The sequence below is a fragment of the Homo sapiens genome, chromosome 2 (assembly GCF_000001405.40).
Source record: "Homo sapiens chromosome 2, GRCh38.p14 Primary Assembly".
NCBI lineage: Eukaryota > Metazoa > Chordata > Mammalia > Primates > Hominidae > Homo > Homo sapiens.
The window spans coordinates 19,610,944-19,635,982 of record NC_000002.12 but is presented as its reverse complement, the minus strand read 5'-3'; the positions used below and the strand labels follow the sequence as shown (position 1 = coordinate 19,635,982).

Sequence of the window (25,039 nt, the reverse complement as noted above, 5' to 3'; positions counted from 1 at the left end):
TCCCCACCAGCTGCTCAGAGGCCTCTTTGCATCTCTAGTCCTTGTTCTGATCCAAGGGACATTAGGGAGCCAAGGGGCTGGGAGGGAGCAGAGGCAGTGTGGCATCCTACCTGCTCCATCATAGATCTCTGCACCTGGGGGATGGGTGGGCGTCAACAGCAGGCACTTCCCCAGTGCCCTTGCTCTCCTCTCGCCTGCACAGCTCCCTGTGTAAATGCCTCAAGCTTCAGGTAGGTGGTGGCTCCCATCTCTAGCATAGACTCAATCTCTTCACACTGGTTTTGTCCTTTCAGAAGGAGATTGGCTGAGGAGGAGATTCAAGCAACGTTGTATCATGGAAGTGTGCTTGACATTATGTCTTAAGTATCTCTGCGTGCTTTACAGAACTTAGAACTTACAGAACTTAGAACACGCAAGATATACAACAGATATTTAATTCTCATTTGATTGATTGACAATCCAAGTGATTTTTCAATTTGAAAGCAAAAGGCTTAATTTCTCTTTGCAACATGTAAATGCAAACACACGATGTACGGCCAGTTCTCTGGTGCTTCATTTTAGAGTAGTTCCTGGACCACAGGACCACTCCTGTGACTAGGAAATCCAGAGGTGAAATAAGCCACAGACAACTGGATCTGGGTATCAAGTCAGGCTCCAGGGCCCTGTCTTGTGTTTCATGGCTCTGCTCTCCTCCTGCGTTGGTCTTTCTTCTCTGCTGATGGGAGGTGGTAGAACACAGTGCATAGCTCTGCAGCCAGACTGCTGAGTGACCATGAACAAGTTAACTAGCCTCCCTGGGCCTTAGTCTTATCATCTAAAAAACCACCATAATAGTGGGAATCCTCCCATGGGTTGTTGTGAGGCTTACATTAGTGAATATGCGTAAGCCTTTAGAGTAGTCCCTGGACCATAGTAAACACCATGAGAGGTTTGCCATTGTTGGTGTTATTGTTGTCTGTGCAGACTGGGGAGAAGGACATGGCCTTAGATTAAAACTAATATCTCAGCCCAGAGGAAAGAAATTTCTTTTCGTCCCTGTCCATGTACATAGCTCTCCAGGGGGACTGTCACTACCCTGCTTGATTCACATGCTAAGATCTTGACCCCATTGCCATGGACAGGGTTGATAGTTACTGTGATTGACAGTTCCACCATAATTACAAGGACTTGGGGACCAACAGTTCCCCAAAGGAGCAGCAGACATTTTACTATTCGCTCATCCATTTACTCAATGAATGTTTATTAATTGTCTCTTATGGACCAGGCACTGTTCTGAGCATTGGGCTAATATCAGTGCCAAAGAACATGAAGAACTCTCTGCCCTCATAGAACTTATGTCTCACTGATAACAAGAGGAGACACATAGTGCGTAAACAAAAGACAGAAAATTTTGAATGTAGTTAAGTGCTATGTTTAACATAAAATAAGATGATGTCGGGAGAGTGCAGAGTGGCCAGAGATAGCATCTCTCAGTAGGCCACCTTGAAACGGAGACCTAAATGCCAAGAAGGAGTCAGCCATGCATAGATTTGTGGTAAGAGTGTGCCAAGCAGAGGGAGCAATTAGTATAGTGGCCCTGGAGCAGGAATGAGCTCTGTGTGTTTGAGAAAGAGAGAGGAAGACTGTGTGACTGCAGTCCACTTGGTGTAATGGAGAGGGGGATGGAGCGAGGCTGGAGGGGGAGCATGACCAGGGAGAACTCGCTGGTACTTTTAGGATGCTGATGTTTTTCCAAAGTCATTCTGGCCGCCATGAGGGGAATAGATGGTAGAGAGGCAAGAGTGGATGCAGGAGAGGAGTGAGTGTCCCAGTGAAAGATGATGGCAGCTGGGCTAGCAGGCAAGTTGCAACTGGAAATGGGTTCAGGACCTGACTGGAAGCAAGGCTGGCAGGATTGGCCAATGGATTAGACATAGGGAAGGACATCAATGATGACAACTGGGCTTATGATTTGAACAACTAGGTGGATAGTGCTGTCCTTTAACAAGAAGGGGAAGATTGAAGTGGGTAAAGGGAAAGCAAATCCAGAGCTCTTTGTTAGATTTGCTGAGTCTAGATTTCTGTTAGATTAGTAGGTACTTAGATAGATGCAACTGGAATTCTGGAGAGACAGAAGGGCTGGGAATGCTGTCATCAGCCTGTAGATGGTATTAAAATCATGTGGCAGGATGAGCTTACTTAAGGAGTGGAGAAGAAGAACAAGGAAGAGCTCAGGAGGAGGGAAGGGATGCTGGATAGAATTAAAAAGTGCTGCCTACTCCCTTTCCCTTTTCTGAGAAAGGAGAGACGTCTTTACTGTGAAATTTTTCTTGAGAGCCTTGACCAAAAAGAGGAAGAATTCCTTTGGTCCTTCTGGTGGCTGGACCAGGAGAAGGAGAGCTTTATCAGGCTACCTGAATGTTCCCAAAGCTGAACAAATCAGCTTTCAACAATCTTGCTTAAGTTTCTCAGGCATTCATTTTATTAGTTAATTGGTTTTTGCTCCATCTCTTTTGGGGCATTTTATTGTTGTCAAGCTCATCATGGTTTTGTATCTTTTAGGAGTTATTTAACATTTATGAGCTCTGGATTTGCACATTTTTTTTTCATAAAGGGGTCTTTTGGAGGTCCTGCGTCCATGGGGGGAGCTTGGGGGGTGTCAGGGAAGAGATGACTGAAACTCTGTCTCCCTAATTTTAACAGTACAGTTGTACATTTTGCTATTTTATATAGCACTCTGCGTATGATTATGCTGTCATTTGAAGATAGATTCCACAGCCACAGATGTATGAAAACCACAGTGGTAGAGCATCAGCTTGTTGAGGACAAGGACCCTGTTTCACTGTAGATTCTGTTCCCTCTATAGACACTCTTGGCAGCTGGGGGAATCAGTAAACTTTTGTTGAATGAAGTCATAGTAAAGTACAAAGGCTTGAAGGGTAGCGGCCCTAATTTTGAGGCTATGTTCAACAGGGATGCAGATTCTCAGCCATCTGATTGTACAGCAGAGGCGACTGCTGTTTCTGCCAAAATGTCCTATGCAACATGGAAATGATTACACTAAAATGCAGTTGGAGATGCCAGTAATCTCCTTGGAGCAGACAAGTAAACTTGGAAATCATTTACGAATGATGCACCAAATCTGTGTGACATCTGTGCATTGAACGGGGAAAATGTATTTCTCCCAAGAGGCTTTTCATGTGATGAGATTGTGGCTTTCAAGTGACGAGGGGAGAAAACAGGAGGATCTTGCCAGGCAGGCCTGGCCTCAGACTTTGATTTGGGGCATCCTCAGTGGGATATGAGGATGCTGGAGCTGGTTGTGCTGTCCAGCACAAGCCTGTCACTCCTCAGAGACTGTTCTGGTGTGATCTGGGGATATGCATGTTGGCCACCACTCAGCTGCTGGGAGGATGTTTTCTCAGCTTTGCCTTTGCGAGGCTGGTGATGGGGAGCTGCCCTTCAACAGGCTTTGATGACAAGCCAAGAAGCTAGGAGAGCCTGTCCCAGACACACTCTCCTGGCATGACTTATGCTTGGGCTCCCAAGCCAAGAAGGAGGCGGTTCCAAGTGGTCACATTGTGTGTGAGGGCACATTCCCGAAGGCCTTGCTTAATTCAGATCTTACATAATTCAAGACTAATTTTCCTATAAATTACTCTTTGATAAACAAAATTATTAAAGTGTATGAAGCGGAGAGAATGCATTCTTGAAGTGTGTAAATTTCAACTCTTGGAACTCAGGGCATATCACATGCCATTAGTGGGCAGCCATGTCAGCAGCAGAATTTCCATTATCCTTGGATTGATACAACTCCTTTTTTTTTTTTTTTTGCAAATTTAAAGGTACAATTGCTTTAATGCCACTTTTATTTTTGTAGCATTCTCTCTAGTCATTCTCACAGCGCTGGCTGCTACATTGAAATTTCAGTGTACAGTGGTAGTTGTCTGGTTTTCTTCACAGGGTGTTATTGCATCTTGTTTCTGTTCCAAAATGTTATTGCTGCTAGCATTATTATCACTTAATGAATGCTGGGATAATGTTGGTATAAGATATTAAAGAGATTTTAAGTTATAATAATAGGAAATGTTAAATAACCCACACAAGTTTTAAGAGCCAAAACAATAGCATGATTTGCCAGATATTTTAAAAGATGGTGGGTTTTTCTACTTAATAGATAAAATGATTTTAATCTGTTGTATTAATGTAAAACATAGTTCATAATTCATTCAAGCTTAGAAATGATGTGATCCCAGAGGAATTTGCTTGGAAGATTCCCATTACTTCAAAATTTGTGTTGAAAGTTAAATTTTATTACTTTAAAAAATTTGATGGACTTTCAAATTTGGAGAATTCAAATTTATATAAATGCAGCTATGCTACTATTAGCTACAATTTTTATGGCTGTAGGTTATGGAACAACTAACTCAAAATTTCTTAAACACATGAGGGAATGTATCATAAGGATACTGGCATGTCTTAGGGAAGCCACAGCTCCTGTACCTGAGCTTCAGGAACAGCTGGAACCAGGGACTTTGAAGCTGTCAGTGCTGCTTTTCCCCATTTTTTTTTTTTTTTTTGCTTTTGCTTCTCTAAGTTTATTGAAACTTCATTATTTTCTCCCACAAAGAGGGCTACATAATTTGTGTTGCCCTGTGCAAAATGAAAATGCAGGCCCATTGTTCGAGAAGCAGAAAAAAGCTTCTATCCTGCTTTCACCGTCTTTCTTTAAACCTGTCATGATGCTTCTAATTTGCTATTTAATTCTCCTCTCCCTGGGGCATTAGGCCTCTTGTAGGGCAAGTGGAGATCCTCACAGGCCTCTGCATGGGCACTGTGACTCAGCAAGTGATATGTGTGCATCCTCTGAGCCTTCCCATTTCTCTACATGGGGAGGAGGGTGATAGCCAAGAAGCCATCTGGTAGAGCAGGGAGGGAAAACTTGTAAGTTGGGGCTCCAAGCCCCAGGTGCATGACCATTGTCTCATTGTACTTCATTTAGTGTTAGTTTCCTGGGGCTGCCTTAAAGGAGCACCATGAACTTGGTGGCTTAAACAACAGAAATTGTTTTGCAGTTCTGGAGGCCAGAGCCTGAGATCAAGATGTCAACAGGGTTGGTTCCTTTGGAGGGCTGTGAGAGAGAATCTGTTCCGGGCTTTCCTCCTAGCTTCTGGTGGTCTCAGACATTCTTTGGCATGTAGATGGCATTCTCCCTTTGTCTTCTCATCATGTTCATGTGTCTGTGTCCAAATTTCCCCTTTTTTATAAGAATACCAGTCATAGGGGATTAGGCCCCACCCCATTCCAATGTGACCTCATTTAAGTTTAACTAATTGTATCTGCAATGACTCCATTTCCAAAGAAGTTCACATTCTGAGATAGTGGGAGTGAAGACTTCAACGTATGAATTTTGGAAGGAACGCAATTTGACCGATATCATTTACAAAACAGAAATCCAAAGATAAAACTATTAAGAATTTTAAAATGGTAGCCACAGCACACTAAACCCCAAGCAGGAGGCTCCCTCTGGAGCACAAGGCCCTGTGAAGCTGAACAGATTATATGCCCATTCTGCACTGGGTAGAAAATGTGTCTCTAGATTTAGCTCCTTGGAGAAAGATGTCTCTACCCCTCTGACTCTTGGGTACGTATGTGATAGGATTTTATCTATGACTCTGGAACTGACACTAGAGCCCACAACAGAAACCAGCAGGCGTTACTGACCCCATGTTCTAGAGACAGATGTCAGCAGATGGAGTCAGACCCCTGCCCACCCATTATTTCTTCCCTGGGCAGAGCTTACTAAGAGCTGGCAAAACCACTGTCTACTTCCATCACCAACATCCTTACCTCCTCCAGCCCCCAACTTCATAAGCACAGAACTGGGAAGGGCAAGGGAGACAGGCCTGGGAATCAGGGTCTTTGTCTTTGTGGGAATTGTAGCGGTATCCTGCCTCACTACCAGCAACACGGATGGTGTCAACTAGTTAGGGTTAGCAACAGAAACAGCCAGAACCAGGAGAGATGAGACGACAACAATGAGCAATTAACTCTTTCCTACTCTCCCTCCCAACCCAGGCCATAGAAAGCCAGGGAGGAGTTATCCCAGAGTCAGACCACGACTTCTTTTTAGTGTGCAGGAGTGGGAGGAAGGGCGAAAAGGGAAACCAACCCAACATTTGCCATTCCAAGCCTCTCAAGCACAAGCCTGACCTGCATTGAAGGGAGAGAAGGAACAAAATGTTTGTTGAATATCAGACTGTAGTCTTACACTGCACTGAATGAGACTGGCCTAATTATAAATGAGAATGATGGTAAGCTATGGGATCTGCTCAGATGGGGTTAAGGACAAGAAGACAAAGCTCACACAGCTGAGATTAGTAATAGGAAGAAAATATAGCTTTCTGGCATTTACACACCCACTGAATTGAGATGACGAACAAAATTGGTTACACGATACTTGGATAAAGTTTTGATTTCATTGCCTCTGTGATATTTCCATTGGATTTTAAAGAGGACTGCAGTGCTCACTCAATTTTCCATTGACCTCCAATACATCCCTCTTCCCTTCCATATGAGGCCCTACAACTGGCTCTGGTCAATAAAATGTAATCAGAAGTGTAGACATGGCACCTCCAGGCAGAGGCAATGAAAAGCCCATGTGTGAATATCCAGTCTCTCTTGATATGTTGTGTGTAGCTGTTGAGAAGTCTGCATAATGCAGTAAATCCATCCAGTCCTGGGATTATCTTTGATGGGAGACTTTTTATTACAGATTCAATTTTGTTACTTATTGTTGGTCTGTTCAGGCTTTCTATTTCTTTCTGGTTCACTCTTGAGAGGTTGTATGTGTCTAGAAATTTATCCATTTTCCTGTAGGTTTTCCAGTTAATTAGTGTATAACTTATTCATAATATTCTCTAATGATCCTTTTGTATTTTGTGCTATCAGTTGTAATGTTTCCTTTTTCATTTCTGATTTTGTTTATTTGGGTTTCTCTTTTTATTTGTCTAGCTGGTAATCTATCAATTTTATTTATATTTTCAAAAAACCAACTTTTTGTTTTGTTGATCCTTTATATTTTTCTTTATTTTGTTTAGTTCCATTCTGCTCTTTATTACTTCTTTTCTTTTACTAATTTTGGGTTTGGCTTATTCTTGCTTTTCTAGTTCTTGAAGTGCATCATTAGGTTGTTTAAAATCTTCCCAGTTTTTTTGATATAGGCATTTATTTCTATAAACTTTCCTCTTTCCTTCTTAGTGCTCCTTTTGCTGTATCCCATAGGTTTTGGTAGGCTGTGTTTCCATTTTAATTTGTTTCAAGAAGTTTATTAATTTCTTCCTTAATTTCTTTATTGCTCCAGTGGTCATTCAGGAGCTTGTTTTTAATTTTCATGTATTTTTAAAGTTTCCCAAATTCCTTTTGTTATTGATTTCTAGTTTTAGAAATCAGTCTAAAAGACTGATATGAGAAGATACTTGATATAATTTCAAATTTTAAGAATTTGTTGAGACTTGTTTTGTGGCATAATATATAATATATGGTCTATCCTGGAGAATGTTTCATATGCTGATGAGAAAAATGTGTATTCTGTAGCTGTTTGATGAAATGTTCTGAAAATATCTATTAAGTCCATTTGTTCTATAGTGCACATTAAGTTCAATGTTTCTTTGTTGACTTTATGTCTAGATAATCTGTCCAGTGCTGAAAATGGGGTATTATAGTCCCCAGCTATTACTGTGCTGGGGCCTACCTATCTCTTTAGCTCTAATATTTGCTTTATATAGCTTGGTGCATATATATTTACAGTAGTTATATCCTGTTGCTGAATTTATTTCTGTATCATTATAGGAATCATATCATGATTTGTCTCCTTTAAATGATTTTTAACCTAAAATCTATTTTGTCTGATATAAGTAAGTATAGGTACTTCTGTGTGCCTTCAGTTTTTGTTTGTGTGGATTTTTTTTCATTCCTTCACTTTCAGTCTATATGTGACTTTACATGTAAAGTAAGTTTCTTGTAGGCAGCATATAGTTTTGTCTTGTTTTTCTTTTTAAAAATCCCTTTAGCCAGTCTTTATCTTTTAATTTGGCAAATTAAACCATTTACATTCAAAGTTGTTAATGATAGGTAAGAACTTACTCAAGTATTTTGGTAATTGTTTTTTGACTATTTTATATTTCATTTGTTCTTTTCTCCCTCTTTTATTATTTACCTTTACAATCTGGTAACCTTTTGTAGTGGTAATGTATGATTCATTTATATTTTTCCTTTGTGAATCAGTTCTACCAGTGAGTTTTATATTTCTGTGGGTTTTCATGATGGTAGACATTGTCCATTCATTTCAAAATGTAGGACTCTCTCAAGCATTTCTTGATGAATTCCTTTAGTTTTTGCTTGTCTGGGAAATACTTCATTTTTCCTTCATTTTTGAATGATAGCTTTCCTGGGAATAGTATTCTTGGCTGACAGCTTATTTTTTTTCTGTCAGCACTTTGAATATGTCATCTCATTCTTTCCTGGCCTGTAAGGTTTCTGCTGAGAAATCTACTGTTAATCTGATGAGGATTGCCTTATATGTGACTTGATGCTTTCCTCTTGTTGTTTTTAGAATTCTTACTTTGTATAACTTTTGACAGTTTGACTATAATATACCTTGGGAAAGACATTTTGGGTTGAATCTATTTGGTAATCTTTGAGCTTTTTGTATCTGAATGTCTATATATCTTGCCAGAATTGGGAAGTTTTCAGTTAGTATTTTGTTAAATTGGTTTTCTGTACCTTTGCCCATCTCTTCTCCTTCCAGAACCCCCCAAAAGTTGAATATTTGGTCATTTTGTGGTGTCTCAAATGTCACTTTCTTCATTTTTATATTCTTCTATCTTTTTGTGCGTGTGTCTTACTGGGTTATTTCAAAAGGCCTGTCTTCAAGTTCAGAAATTCTTTCTTCTGATTGATCTAGTGTATTGTTGAAGCTCTCTTAACGGTATCTTTTTATTTCATTCATTGAATTCTGTAGTTCCGGGATTTAAAAAAAATGATATCTATCTCTCTTGAATTTCTAATTCAGACCATGAATTGTTTTCCTGATTTCTTTGTACTGTTTATCTGTGTTCCCTTGTATCTTCCTGAATGTCTTTAATATCATTATTTTAAATTATTTTTGAGGCATTTCATAGATTTTCTTTTTTGTCAGAATATGGTATGGAGAATTGTTGTTTCTTCTGAGGCATCATGTTTCATTGCTTTTCCATATTTCTTGTGTATTTATGTGGACATCTGCATGTCTGGTGTAAAAGTCACATCTTCCAATGTTATGAATTGGCTTTCAGAGGGAAATTTTTTTTTCCTATAGATGTATGTATAGTGTTTGTTGTGTAGGGCACTTTGGCTTTGATTCCCAGTGGGCGTGGTAAAGTGGTCTCTGTATGATTTCTTTGGCTATAATCAGTGTCAGTGGTTACTGAGAGTACCTCAGCGGCTTACTCCGTGGTTCTTAGCAGAAGCTATGGTAAGGCTGGGGACAAGGATGCCATGCAGGCCAGTCCGCAGGCACCATTGGTGACAACAGCAAGCTGAGTTTGCTGATCCTAGGGCACCTGAGCAGCATATACAGGCTCCAGTTGTACAGGGTTTAGGGCAATTGATCCTTGGGCTTCCAGGTTGCTTGCTTGGATGCCAGCAGTGGTAGATGTGGATCAGGTGGTCAGGTTGGCCGTCAGGCTCCTGAGTGGCATGCATGACATCAGCAGTGACAGTAGCACTGTCACTAGGGTCAACCCTTAGGTCCCTGAGCAGCATGCATGGGTGTTGGTGGTGATAAGGGTGGGTGGTAAGGCCATACAGGTGGGTTTTGGTGTCAGTGGTGTTGGTAGGACCCATGCCCATGCACCCCAGGGAGGTGCATGTAGGCAGTAGTGGCCGGTAGGGTGGACCTATCCTCAGGCCTTGTTGTAGTGGTGGGAAGGACAGATCAATCCCCACGCCCCTGGTAACATGCATGAGTATTGACAGTGGCAGACAAGGCAGGGCTGTCATTAAGCTCTCCAATGGTGTATGCAGGTGCTGGCTGTAGTGAGAGAGGAGGATTGACCCCCATACTCCTGGATGGCATGGTGGAGCACTGGCAGTGGTGACATTGGGTGGGGCAGACCTATCCTCAAGTCCCCAGATGGCAAACATGGGCACTGGTGGGGGCAGGCAGGGCAGCCTGATCCCAAGACTCCCAGATGGCATGCTCGAGCACCAGCATGTGCTGATATTGGATGTGACTGGGGATGCTCTGTTCTCCTATTTGGATATTATTTTCCTGAATATTTTTCATATTTATTTTTAATCTTCTTACATCACTGCATCTCATTTCTGTCTCTTGTAAATAATACATTGCCAGTCTGGCACTCTTCAGTTTTTAAATGGATCACTTGATACATTTATAATATTTTTTCATTTACAATTATTTTAGGTTACTAATATTTTTGGATACTGCTTTATTATATTTTTCTGACTTTTTCAATGTTTCTTTGGTATTCTATATTTCTCTTTATTGTCTTTTTTTGGACTTAGTACTATATTTAACTGAGTCTAAGATGACATTGATTATAAGCACATAATTTTATCACTAAGAAAAGAAAACACCCCCTTATTCTATAATAGAATGCTTTGTTAATACTTAGAATAATTATTTCATATTTACAGAAATAATGCTATTAGAAGCATTCAGACATAGTTTTTTTAAAAATCCCAAATCACACATATTCATACATAAAAAGGAAAATGTAAGTGAAATAAATTGATAAGATATTCTTTAAACTTCTTCACAATGAGAGTCTATCAAGTCTGTTGGTAATAAACATTTTTAAGAGTGCAATTCTATTGGATTTATTATCTAATAATTCAATTTAGGATTTTATTCCAAGTTGCTGACAGGAATTTTGCAGTTTTAATGCTGGGTTTTTCTTGATCTTACCAGACGGTGTCAATGGAAGGTTTTTGGAAAACAACTGGGTCTCATAATCCTAGTTTTAATGTTTTGTATGTGGCATGCCCTCTGACACCTTGGGGACTTGTAGTAGTCCAGTAATGCTATCAGGAGTAATTACAAGGCCTTTACATATGCAAACAAAGGCTATTTCATAAGACTCTACTGCCTAGCTGACTCCAATTATCAGACACTTTCAATCACAAGATTCATCCTGATTTTAGAAATGTTAAAATGTGAAAAAAAAATGTGGTGTGTGTGTGTATGTGTGTGTGTATATATATATATGCACAATGGAATACTATTTATTCAGCCTTATAAAAGAAAGAAATCTTGCCATTTGCAACAACATGTATAAACATGGAGGATATTATTTTAAGTGAAATAAGCCAGGCACAGAAAGATAATGCCATGTGATCTCACATATGTGGAGCTCTTATGTGAAAACAGAGAGTAGAATGGTGGTTACCAGAGGCTGAGTACTGGGGAGATGTTGGTCAAATGATACAAATGTTCGGCTAGACAAGAGGAATAAGTTCAAGAGATCCATTGTACAACATAATAACTATAGTTAATAACAATGTTTTGTATATTTGAAAATTGCTAGACAGTAGATTTTTAAGTGTTTTCATCACACAAAAGTGGTAGGTAATGCATATGTTAATTAGCTTAATAGAGGCATTCCACAGTGTATACATATTTCAAGACATTGTTTTACACCATAAATATGTATAATTTTTCTATCAAATTAAAAAAGAAATAGCAAAGTCTAAGGTTATTCAACATCTTTAGCTCCCTCTAAATAAATGGAACAACTATAAAATGAAAAAAATAATAAATAAACCATTGAATTTTCATAAGAAAACATGAGACAATTCCATTATGACCAAGAAGAGGTGACTTTTCTGATATGACCCAAAATCTAGAAGCTATAAAAAAAGTTGATAGATTTGTTATTAAAGAAAACTCTTATTGCAAATAAATGCATTAATTAATAAAAATTAGTATATGAAAGTCAAAAGACTGATGACAAAGTGTAAAAATGCAATTAAAATCATAAACAAAATTATTCTCTTTTTAATGCATAAAATTCTTGAAGTAATTGAGAAAAAACTATTAATCTAATATGTAAACCAGCAAAAACAAAAAGGAAACTAAACTCACAAAAAAATAAATATAAATTGCCCTTAAATAAATAAAAAGATGCTCAGCCTCACTTACAGCAAGACAAATGAAAATGGAAACTATGCTAAGATATCTTTTTTTTTCCTTCAGATTGGCAAAAATCCAAAATGTCTGTGCACACTGCTGGTGAGGCTATGGTAAAACAATTACATATTTCTGGTTGGTGTGTCCTTGTGAAGTGAAATTTGGCAGTAAGTAACAAAATTACTCATGCATTTCCCACGGATCAGCATCTCCACTTGACATAAAATAAATGCTAGAGATACACATCTACAGGTATGAACTACAAGTTCTGTAGTATACAAGGATACAGTTAATTTATTCTGTTGTCTATGATGGCATAAACAGCTTAAGTGCTTATCAATAGGGGACTGCTTGTATAAAGTAGATTTCAGATTACAATGGGCTACTATATAGGTAAAAAAAAAAAAAAAGAATAAGTAGAAGAATTCCAATTAATAAACGTAGGAGGAATGAGGCAACTAGAACATTTTCATTAGAACATCACAGTAATAGTTGCTGCAAGCAAGATCCACAGATTAATGCTACAATTAGTGAGTGAAACATTAACGAGAAACAGGATAATTGCATAGCCTTGAGGTATCTCAATACATTAATCATGTATTAATGATTGTGGTGCTCACAGATTGAGAAATGTGCATAACCTAGATGAAGAAAACCTTGTGACATCACAAAAGGACACTTGAACAAATTAAAATGTATATGATACAAAATTACAAATATGTCAATTAATCATAAATAGGATTGCTATGTCTTCTTGGTGGATTGACCCTTTTATCATTACATAATGTACCTGGTAATTTTCTTTGCTCTGATGCTTACTTTACCTGATACTAATATAGCAATTCCTGCTTTTCTTTTGGATTAAGATTTGCATGGTATATATATTTCCATCCTTTTACTTTCAACCTACCTGTATCATTATATTTGAAGTGAGTTTATTGTAAACAGCATTTAGTTGGGTCATGTTTTTCAAACTACTCTGTTGATGTGTGTTAATTGGTGTGTTTAGATAACTTACATTTGATGTAATTATTTATATGTTAGTACTTAAGTCTGACATTTAAAATTTTTTTTCTCTCTATATTTCATTGTTATTTCTTTGTTTTCTTTTTTATGTCTTCTTGTGGGTTAAACATTTTTGGAATTCCATTTTTATTTTATTTATTTTTCTTCATTTTAAAAATCAGCTTTATTGAGGTGTAATTGCATATTTTAAAACTGCATATGTTTAAGGCATACAATTTGATAAGTTTGGACACATACATGCACTCATGATAGGATTACCATGATCAAGGTAATAAACATATCCATCACCTCCAAAAGCCACCTGCATGGTTTTTACAATAAGAAGTAATTCTCTTTTTAAAATTGCATGCATGTTGAGCTAGCAATACCACTTAGTATATCCCCCAAAATATAATTGTACATGTTTACAGAGATGCTTATAACTGTGTTATTTGTTTTATTTTTTAATTTTTATTTTTTATTTCAAAAGGTTTCTGGGGAACAGATGGTGTTTGGTTACATGGATAAATTCTTCTAGTCATGATTTCTGAGATTTTGGTGCACCCTACAGCTAAGCAGTGTATACTATACCCAGTGTGTAGTCTTTTATCCTTCACCTGCTTCCCACCCTTTCTCCTGAGTCCCCAGAGTCTATTGCATCATTCTTATGCCTTTGCATCCTCATAGCATAGATCCCACTTATGAGTGAGAATGCATGATATTTGGTTTTCCATTCCATCCAGGTTGCTGCTAATGCCATTGTTTCATTCTTTTTTATGGCTGAGTAGTATTTCCATGGTGTGTGTGTGTGTGTGTGTGTGTGTGTGTGTGTGTGTGTATAATTTTCTTTATCCACGCGTTGGTATCCTTTCCGCAGCTTTACATTTGTGTTTGCTTTGTCCAAGATCAGTTGACTATAAGTATTTAACTTTATTTCTGAGTTATCTATTCTTTTCCATTTGTCTATGTGCCTATTTTTATACCAGTACCATTCTGTTCTGGTGACTATGGCCTTATAGTATAGGTTGAAGTCGGGTAATGTGAGGCCTCTGGATTTGTTATTTCTGCTCAGTCTTGCTTTGGCTATATGGGCTCTTTATTGGTTTTATATGAATTTTAGGATTGTTTTTTCTAGTTCTGTGAAGAATGATAGTGGTATTTTGGTGGGAATTGCATTCAATTTGTAGATTGCTTATGGCAGTATGGTCATTTTTACCATATTGATTCTATCTGTCCATGAGTATGAGATGTGTTTCATTTGTTTATGTCATCTATGATTTATTTCAGCAGTGTTTTGTAGTTTTCCTTGTGGAGGTCTTTCACCTGCCTGGTTAGGTATATTCCTAAATTAATTAATTAATTAATTAATTTGCCACTATTGTAAAAGAAGTTGAATTCTTGATTTGATTCTCAACTTGGTTGCTGTTGGTGTATAGCAGTGCTAGTGATTTGTGTACATTAATTTTGTATCCTGAAAATTTACTGAATTCATTTATCAGTTCTAGGAGCTTTTTGGATGAGTCTTTAGGGTTTTCTGTGTATACGATCATATCATCAGCAAACAGCAACAGTTTGACTTCCTCTTTAATAATTTGGATGCCATTTATTTCCTTCTATTGTCTGATTGCTTTGACTTAGACTTCCAATACTATGTCGAATTGAGGTGGTGAGAGTGGGTATCCTTGTCTTGTTCCAGTTTTTTGGGGGGAATGCTTTCAGTTTTTCCTTCTTCAGTATAATGTGGCTGTGGGTTTGTCATACATGGCTTTTATTATCTTAAGGTATGTCCTTTGTATGCTGATTTTGCTGAGGGTCTTTATCATAAAGAAAGCTGAATTTTGTCAAATGTGTTTCTCTGTGTTGAGATGATTATGTGATTTTTGTTTTTAATTTTGTTTATGTGTTATGTCACATTTATTGACTTGTGTATAGTAAACCATCACTGCATCCCTGGTGTGAAACCCACTTGATCATGGTGGATTATCTTTTTGATATACTGTTGAATTCAGTTAGCTAGTATTTTGTTAAGACTTTTTGCATCTATGTTCATCAGGGATATTGGTCTGTAGTTTTCTTTGTTTGTTGTTGTTTTTTTGTTATGTCCTTCCCTGGTTTTGGTATTAGGGTGATACTGGCTTCATAGAATGATTTAGGAAGAATTCTCTCTTTCTCTTTCTTTTGGAATAGTGTCAATAGGATTAATATCAATTCTTCTTTGAATGTCTGATAGAATTTAGCTGTGAATCCATCTGGTCCTGGACTTTTATTTGTTGGTAATTTTTAATTATTATTTCAATCTTGCTGCTTGTTATTGGTCTGTTCAGAGTTTCTATTTCTTCCTGGTTTAATCTAGGAAGGTTGTATATCTCCAGGAATTTACCCATCTCCTCTAGGTTTTCTGGTTTATGCACATAAAGCTACTCACAGTAACTTTGAATGACCTTTTGTATTTCTGTGGTATTGGTTGTAATATCTTCCATTTCATTTCTAATTGAGCTTATTTGGATCTTCTCTCTTCTTTTCTTGGTTAATTATGCTAATGGTCTATCAATTTTATCTTTTCAAAGAACCAGATTTTTGTTTCATTTATCTTTTGTATTGTTTTTGTTTGTTTGTTTTATTCTTGTTTCTGTAGTTTCTTGTGGTGTGATCTTAGATTATCTATTTGTGCTCTTTCAGACTTTTTGGTGTAGGCATCCAGTGCTATGAACTTTCTTCTTAGCCCTGCTTTTGTTGTATCTCAGAGGTTTTGATAGATTGTGTCACTATTATTGCTCAGTTCAAAGAATTTTTAAAATTTCCATCGATTTCATTGTTGACCCAATGATCATTCAGGAGCAGGTTATATAATTTCTATGCCTTTGCAGGGTTTTGAGGGTTCCTTTTGAAGTTGATTTCCGATTTTATTCCACTGTGGTCAGAGAGTACTTGATATAATTTCGAGTTTCGTAAATTTATTGAGACTTCTTTTGTGGCCTATCATATGGTCTATCTTGGAGAATGTTCCATTTGCTGATGAATAGATGAATAGAATATATATTCTGCAGTTGTTGGAAAGAATGTTCTGTAAATATCTGTCAAGTCCATTTGTTCTAGGGTATAGTTTAAGTCCATGGTTTCTTTGTTGACTTTCTGTCTTGATGACCTGTCTAGTGCTGTCAGTGGAGTATTGAATTCCCCCACTATTATTGTGTTGCTGTCTAATTTCTTAGGTTTAGTAGTACTTGTTTTATAAATTTAGGGGCTCCATTGTTAGGTGCAAATATATTTAGGATTGTGATATTTGTCTTTTGGACTAGTCCTTTTATCATTATATAATGTCCCTCTTTGTCTTTTTAAACTCGTTGCTTTAAAGTCTGCGTTGTCAAATATAAGAATAGCGACTCCTGCTTGTTTTTAGTGTCTGTTTGTATGGGATATCTTTTTGCACACCTTTACCTTATGTGAATTCTTATGTGTTAGGTGAGTCTATTGAAGACAGCAGATACTTGGTGGGCGAATTCTTATCCATTCTGCCATTCTGTATCTTTTAAGTGGAAGATTTAGGACATTTACATTCAACATTAGTATTGAGAAGTAGGTAGTATTCTATTCATTGTGCTAGTTGTTGCCTGGATACATTGTTGTTGTTGTTTTCATTGTTATTGTTTTATAGGTCCTGTGAGATTTATCCCTTAAGGAAGTTCAATTTTGGGGTATTTCAAGAATTTGCTTCAAGATTTAGAGCCTTTTTAGAGGTTCTTGTGGTGCTGGTGTGGCAGTGTTGAATTCTCTCAGCATTTGTTTGTCTGGAAAGACTGTATCTTTCCTTCACTTACGAAGCTTAGTTTTGCTGGATACAAAATTCTTGGCTGATAATTGCTTCCTTTAAGGAGGCTAAAGATAGGAACTCAATGCCTTCTAGCTTGTAGGGTTTCTGCTGAGAAATCTGTTGATCTGGTAGGTTTTCCTTTATAGGTTACCCAATGCTTTTTCCTCACAGTTCTTAAAATTCTTTTCTTTGTTTTAACTTTAGATTACTTGGACTATATGCTTAGGCAATGATCTTTTTGCAGTGAATTTCCTGGGTGTTCTTTGAGCTTCTTGTATTTGAATGTCTTAATCTCTAGCAAGTCCAGGGAAGTTTTCCTCGATTATTCCCTCAAATATGTTTTCCAAGCCTTTAGATCTCTCTTCTTCCTCGGAAACACCAATTATTCTTAGGTTTGGTTGTTTAACATAATCCCAAACTTCATGGAGACTTTGCTCAGTTTTTACAATACTTTTTTCTTTGTCTTTGTTGGATTGGGTTAATTTGAAAGCCTTGTCTTCGAGGTCTGAAGTTCTTTCTCCTACTTGTTCTATTCAATTGCTGACACATTCCAGTGTATTTTGCATTTCTCTAAGTGTGTCCTTTATTTCCAGAAGTTGTGATTGTTTTTTATTTATGCTGTCTATTTCTGTGGAGATTTTTCCATCCATATCCTGTAACATATTTTGATTTCTTTATGTTTGTGTTCACCTTTCTCTGGTGCCTCCTTGAGTAGTTTAATAATTAACCTTCTGATTTTTTTTTTCTGGCAATTCAGAGATTTCCTCTTGGTTTGGATCCATTGCTGGTGAGCTAGTATGATCTTTTGGGGGTGTTACAGAACCTTGTTTTGTCATATTGTCAGAATTGTTTTTCTGGCTCCTTCTAATTTGGATAGATTTGGGTATATTATGTCAGAGGGAAGATCTGGGGCTCAAGGGCTATTGCTCGAATCTTTTGTCCCATGGGGTGCTCCCATGATGTGGTGTTCTTCCCCTTCCCCTAGGGATAGGGCTTCCCAAGAGCCAAATTGTAGTGATTGTTATTTCTCTTCTGGGTCTAGCCACCCTGTGGGGCTACCAGTCTCTAGGATGGTACTGGGGAGTGTCGGCAAAGAGTTGTGTAATGCGATCTGTCTTCAGGTCTCTCTGCCATGGATACCAGCACCTGCTCTGGTGGAGGTAGCAGTGGAGTGAAGTAGACTGTGAGAGTCCTTGGTTATAGTTTTGTTTAGTGTGCTAGTTTTGTGTTTATTGGTCCCCAGCCAGGAGGTGTTGCTTTCAAGACAGCATCGATTGCATTAGCATAGGGAGGATACAGGGTTGCCCTAGGGTTGCCTGGATAAGTTTCTCAGGCAGTGAGCAGGGCCATAGATCTCCCAAGAGATTATGTTCTTTGTCTTCAGCTACCAGGTTCATGGAGAAAGACCATGAGGTGTGGGAAGGGTTAGGAGTGTCTGAGTTCAGCCACTTCTTAAGTGGGGCTTGCTGCAGCTGCTGTGGGGGATAAAGGTGTGGTTCTCAGACAGATGGAGTTATGTTACAAGGGGGATTATGGCTGCCTTTTCTGAGTCATACAGGCCATCAGGGAAGTGGGGGAAAGGTGGCAGTGACAGGCCTCACCCAGCTCCCATGCAACCCAAAAGGCCAGTGTCACTCCTACAGTGCTCCCCCAACAGCACCAAGCTTATTTCCAGGCAGCAGGTGAGGTGAGCAGAGCTGAGAACTTGCTCCAGGCTAAAAGCCTCCCTGCTGAGAATGCAAGCAGGGCTTTCAGGTTTTAGGCCTACCCCGATGCAGTTTTTGTGCTTGTATCTGCACTCCCTGTTCACCTTCTCCCCTGGATTCTGTCCAGGACACTTAACATTTGGTCAAAATTGTTACAAAGCTCATCTGGAAGTTTTCTTCTCCCCGTGGCCTTTCCCCGTGGAATTCCATTTTGATTCACTTATAGTGTATTTGAGTGAATCTTTTTGAATAAAATTTTAGGAGTAGCTATAGGCATTTATATATGTACATGTGTATGTGTATATATATATGTACATATATACATAAGTGTGTGTATATATATGTATGTGTATATATAACTTATGACTATTTACCAGTTTGAGTGTAGACACCATGCCATGCCTCCTTTGAAGTTTCTTTCTTCCTTTTATTATTATTTTTTTTAACAGTCTCACTCTGTCACCCAGGCTAGAGTACAGTGACACAATCTTGGCTCACGGCAACCCCCACCTCCTGGGCTCAAGCAATCTTTCCATTTCAGCTTCCTGAGTAGCCGAGACTACAAGCATATGCCACCAAGTCTGGCTAATTTTTGTATTTTTGGTAGAGACAGGGTTTCACTTGGGCTCAAGTGGTCTGCCTGCCTTGGCCTCCCAAAGTGCTGAGATTACAGGTGTAATCATTACACCCAGCCTCTTTAAGTTTCTTCACCCTTCTACACATAAAATTGTCTCAACAGGAAAAGAAAAAGTGAAGTCTATGATATCTATAATATTTACCCATATTTTTTCTCTTTCCATTGTCCTTCCTTCCTTTCTGATGTTCCAAAGTTCCTTCTTTTATCATATCCTTTCTGTTTAGGGAAGGTCTCTGATATAATTTGTCCTCTCCAAATCTCATGTTGAAATGTCATCCCCAATGTTGGAGGTGGGACCTGTTGGGAGATGTTTGGATCATGGGGGTGGATCTTTCCATGAATGGCTTGACACCCTCCCTGTGGTAATGAGTGAGTTCCCACTCTATTAGTTCATGCAAGATCTGATGTTGCAGGAAGTCAGGGACCCAGAATGGAGGGACCAGCTGGAGCCACGGCAGAGGAACATAAATTGTGAAGATTTCATTTTAATATGGATGTATATCAGTTCCCAAAATTAATACTTTTATAATTTCTTACGCCTGTCTTTACTGCAATCTCTGAACATAAATTGTGAAGATTTCATGGACATTTATCAGTTCCCAAATAATACTCTTATAATTTCTTATGCTTGTCTTTACTTTAATCTCTTAATCCTATTATCTTCATAAGCTGAGAATGTACGTCACCTCAGGACCACTGTTGTACAAATTGATTGTAGAACATGTGTGTTTGAACAATATGAAATCTGATTGTAAAACATGGGTGTTTGAACAATGTGAAATCAGTGCACCTTGAAATCAAACAGAATAATAGTGATTTTAGGGAACAAGGGAAGACAACCAAAGGTCTGACTCCCTGCGGGGTTGGGCAGAATACAGCCATATTTTTCTTCCTGCAGAGAGCCTATAAACGGACGTGCAAGTAGGAGAGATATCACTAAATTCTTTTCCTAGCAAGGAATATAATATAAAGACCCTAGGAAAAGAATTGCATTCCTTGGGGGAGGTCTATAAATGGCCACTCTGGGAGTGTCTGTCTTATGCGGTTGAGATAAGGACTGAAATATGCACTGGTCTCCTGCAGTACCCTCAGGCTCACTAGGGTGGGGAAAAACCCCACCCTGGTGAATTTGAGGTCAGACCAGTTCTCTGCTCTCGAACCCTGTTTTCTGTTGTTTACGATGTTTATCAAGACAATACATGCACAGCTGAACATAGACCCTCATCAGTAATTCTAATTTCACCCTTTGCCTTGTGATCTTTGCTTTGCCCTTTGCCTTATGATCTTTATTGGCCTCAGAAGCATGTGATCTTTGTGACCTACTCCCTGTTCATACACCCCCTCCCCTTTTGAAGTCCTTAATAAAAACCTGTTGGTTTTGTGGTTCAGGTGGGCATCACGGACCTACCAATATGTGATGTTACCCATGGCTGCCCAGCTGTAAAATTCTTCTCTTTGTACCCTTTTCTCTTTATTTCTCTGACCAGCTGACACTTAGGGAAAATAAAAAGAACCGACTTTGAAATATTGGGGGCTGGTTCCCCCGATAATCTGATTGTTAAAAGAGCTTGGCATCTTCCCCCTCTCTGTCTTGCTTCCTCTCTTGCCATGTGATGCACTTGCTCCACCTTCATTGTCCACCATGAGTAAAAGCTTCCTGGGGTTCTCACTAGAAGCAGATGCTGGCACCATGCTTCTTGTACAGCCTGTATAACCATAAGCCAAATAAACCTGTTCTCTTTATTAACTACCCAGTCTCAGGTATTTCTTTAAAGCAATGCAAAACAGACTAACACATTCTCTTGATTTTCTCTTGATTGTTGATTTTCTCCCACTGCTTTCAAGATATCTTCTTGGTCTTTAATTTTCAGAAGTTTAATTATGTGTCTTGGTGTGGATTTCTTTTGGTTTATCTTGTTTGAAGTTCTCCCAGAATCTTGTATCCGGAGGTTTATGTTTTTGGATAAATTTTTTTAAAAGTCAGAATTATTTATTTGGGGATATTTTTACCCCACTATCTTTTCCCTTTTTTTCTGTCAGTCTAATAATGCAAATGTTCTATCTTTTGATATTGTCCACAGAACTCTGAGGTTGTATTAAGTTTTTAAGTCTATTACTCTCTGTTCAGAGTGAGTAATTTCTGTTGTTCTAAGTTCAATGATTCTTCCCTCTGTTCTTACCATTCTGCTGCCGAGTACATCCATTAAGTTTTTATTTTGGTTATTGTATTCATCAGTTCCAAAATATATTTTTCATTTATTACAAGCATGTTCATAATTACTCACTGAGGTAATTTTATGATAGCTACTTAAAATTCTTTTCAGATAATTCTAACATCTGTGTCATCCTGGGTTTGGCATCTGTTGATTCTCTTTTCTTACTCAAGTTGAAATTTTTCTGGTTTTGGTATGAGTGATTTTTTTTTTTGTGGTATCCTGAACGTTTTTGGTATTATGTTATAAGGCCCTGGATCTTATTTAAGTCTGCTTTAACAAGCCTCACCTGATATCACTCTGGAAGGGAAATGAGTGTCCTGCCTCATTATTGCCAGGTGGGTCCTAGTTCCCCACTTGACCTAAGTAGCAGGGAGGTGGGTGGGGAGGGATGAGGCAAGGGCATCTACTCCTTAGGTAGGAGTGGAAATTTAGGTTCCCTCCTAGGTTTTCATTTATATTACCCTAGTTGGTATAGGAGGGGTGCCTTCTTACTGCTCTCCATGTGGCTTCTACTGACATCACATACATGGGGCATCCTTTTTACCACTGGATGGTGAGAAGGTCCTGCCTCTCCATTAGGCCTCCTGATACAGGCATGGTGGAGAAAGTGCAGCTCATTACCATTTGTTGGGGGTAGAAGTTCAGAATTCCTACCTAGTTTCTACTGACTCCATGGGGAGAGGGCTCATTGCAGCCAGGCATGACCTGTGGAAAACCACTGGACTTTGAGAGACCAGGAGAAACCAACAGAATGCTTATTCCATTAAATAAGATCTTCTCTTCAGAAAGTCCCAAGTTTATTTTTCACTTGAAAATCCTGGCTTCTCACTTGTTGTCTGACACCACACCAGTGGTAGAGAGGTTTTGTGGTGGGTGGGTCAGGTTCCATGTTACAGCCAGGTGAAGAAGGTAAAAGTCCAGGCTTCCCACTCAGTCTTTGCTGATGAGGTTGGAGGTATGGCCATTTTTATCCCATGGTGTTTCTCTAGGGCAGAGAGGTCAATGTCTAAACTTCTCTGTCTTGCCAGGTTGTCCCTTCCTGTTCCTTTATCTAGAGAGAACTGGCACTAGTTGGAATTTTATTTTGCTTATTTGTTTGTTTTGGTTGGTGTTTTTGGATTGCTGGCTTCTCCAGCGCCCGATCTGGGATAGATTAGGCAAGAAAAAAACCAAGGGAACTCTCTATCATGTTATTACCTGGGTCCTGAGGCTCCTAGTCAGTCTGAATCTTTCTCTCTACATTTCAGGCTTCTTATGTTTTTGCTGTGTATACCGCCCAGGACTTTTAGCAGGAGGCACAGGGAAAACCTTCCAGCAGGAGTGAGAAACATTTTACAAGAAAAGCACCTCTATTCCATGCTCATTTGAAAGTGGAACTGTTCCCCTCCAATTTGTAGACCTTTATTATTATTATTTCTTCTGCTAATACTTTTGATATTGTGTGAAACTATGGTTGGTGATGGGGGGACATCCCTGTTTTTCTCTTGGCTTCTGAGGGACAGCCTCTCATGTGTATCCATTGAACTTCTTTTAAAGAAGTAGCCTATTTTTCTTTTGTCTTGGTTATTTCCTAAAGTCAAGAATCATTGCTGAGGCCAGGCGTGGTGGCTCATACCTATAATCCCAGCACTTTGGGAGGCCAAGGTGGGCAGATCACCTGAGGTCAGGGGTTTGAGATCAGGCTGGCCAACATGGCAAAAACTAAAAATACAAAATTACCAGCCCGGCCACCCCATCTCTACTAAAAATATAAAAATTAGCCAGATGTGGTGGCAGGTGCCTGTAATCCCAGCTACTCGGGAGGCTGAGGCAGGGAGAATTGCTTGAACCCGGGAGGCGGAGGTTGCAGTAAGCCGAGATCGTGCCACTGCACTTCAGCCTGGGTGACAGAGCGAGACTATGTCAAAAAAAAATCATTGCTGAATTGCTGTCAATTTTTTTTGGTATTTATGGAGAAAATTATGAGCACACATTTATCCCCATTTTATAGAGAACACAGCTGACACCTCAAGAAGCTGAGTGCCATGCCCAACATTACATAGCTCAGATGTATTCAAGCCGGGATTCTACCTCAGGCCTACCTGGCTTCCGAGTCCACAGATTTTACAACTTAGTATACTTGTGACACACAGAAAGGACAGTGACCAGGTGACTTTGTTGACACAGCTCAGCAGTTTATAGGTGTACAAGAGGTGATGCTGTGTGACATGATAGGCTCTGTGGTTTTCTGTCCTGCATCTGCTGAAGTTCAACATATGGCTTTTGTCATGATGCTCCTGTACAGCTTGCTTTTAATTTATCTGCTCAGGAAGTCTCAACTTTCACATAGTGTTTGGTTGCCAGTAGAAACCCATTGTGATATTATTTTCCAGCTCATCTCATCAGGGCCTGTCCAAAGTCCAGTGGTTTTCTCCACAGGTCATCTAATGTGAGTGAGTCAGAAGCCATGGCTGCTGAATCATAAATTTAGAATCCACATGGCTCCTGATTCTTTCTTTACTGTGGCCACCAGATCATCCTCCTTGCTGAGCATGACAAAGCACTAACTAGTGAATGGGAAACATATTTCAGGGAAGCTAACACGGAGGTGAAAAATAGACTTGGGCTTTCTGAAGAGAAGGTCTTATTTAATGGAATAAGCATTCTATTGGTCTCTCAGGCAATACGACAACCTTTTGGGTAGAGCTTCTCAACGGGGTGCCAGGGCATGCCAAGTTGCTACAAATGGATTACAGGTGTGTCTGAGATACTGATCCTCTTAATTCTTGGGGCAGCCGGGCAGGTTCTGGGGCTCTCCAGAGTTGTGGCCTAGTTACCTCCAGCTGTGAGCAGCTCCTTCAATTTACCCTGGAAAGCCATGAAAAAGGTATCATTTTCTATGTGCACCAAGAGGAGAAAAAGGCTGGGAGCACTGTTTGTGGAGATGTCTTCAGAGTCAGGTACCATATTGCGGAGTTGATGAGCTCCAGTTTTCTGATGCTGTGCTAAGCTCCATTTACATTAGAACTATAGTGCTTTCTTGGGGGTAGGGGCTCTTCTGATTGTAAAAACAAAGAGTAACAGAGAGTGTCACTGGTCTCTGTGAAGGTGTGAAGGGTATAGATGGTATTAACATGTCTTGTTCACCAAATCATGGAATTCTGGAATGAAGGTGGACATTAGCTGAAGCTGAGAAAGATAGTTTGATAAAAAGTTAAGAAAACTATAGTTATTTCATCCAATAAGTTTAAAAACTAAGAAATGAAAATACCTTCAAACTGAGAACATAGAAACCCAAAATCTAAAGGTCTCTATTGGTTGTTTTTTGTTTTGTTTTGTCTTGTTTTGTTTTTTTTGAGACAGAGTCTCACTCTGTTGCCCAGGCTGGAGTACTGTGATGTGATCTTGGCTCCTTGCAACCTCCGCTTCCCAGCTTCAAGCGATTGTCCTGCCTTAGCCTCTTGAGTAGCTGGGATTACTGGCACGTGCCACATCCCGGCTAATTTTATATTTTTA

At 39.1% G+C, this 25,039-nt stretch overlaps 1 protein-coding gene across 3 annotated transcripts in view; it reads left to right on the top strand.

The window, feature by feature from the left end:
• Positions 1–13,148, top strand: part of LOC124905977 (uncharacterized) — an 82,330-nt gene extending 69,182 nt beyond the window's left edge. For all 3 annotated transcript variants that reach the window (XR_007086240.1, XM_047446558.1, XM_047446557.1), the window contains exon 4: positions 12,236–13,148. Coding sequence is in view for 2 of the 3 variants with exons in the window: in XM_047446558.1 (XP_047302514.1) it covers positions 12,236–12,286 (51 nt within the window). In the remaining variant the exon portion in view is untranslated. The remainder of the gene's footprint in view (positions 1–12,235) is intronic.
• The last annotated feature ends 11,891 nt before the right edge of the window (positions 13,149–25,039 follow it).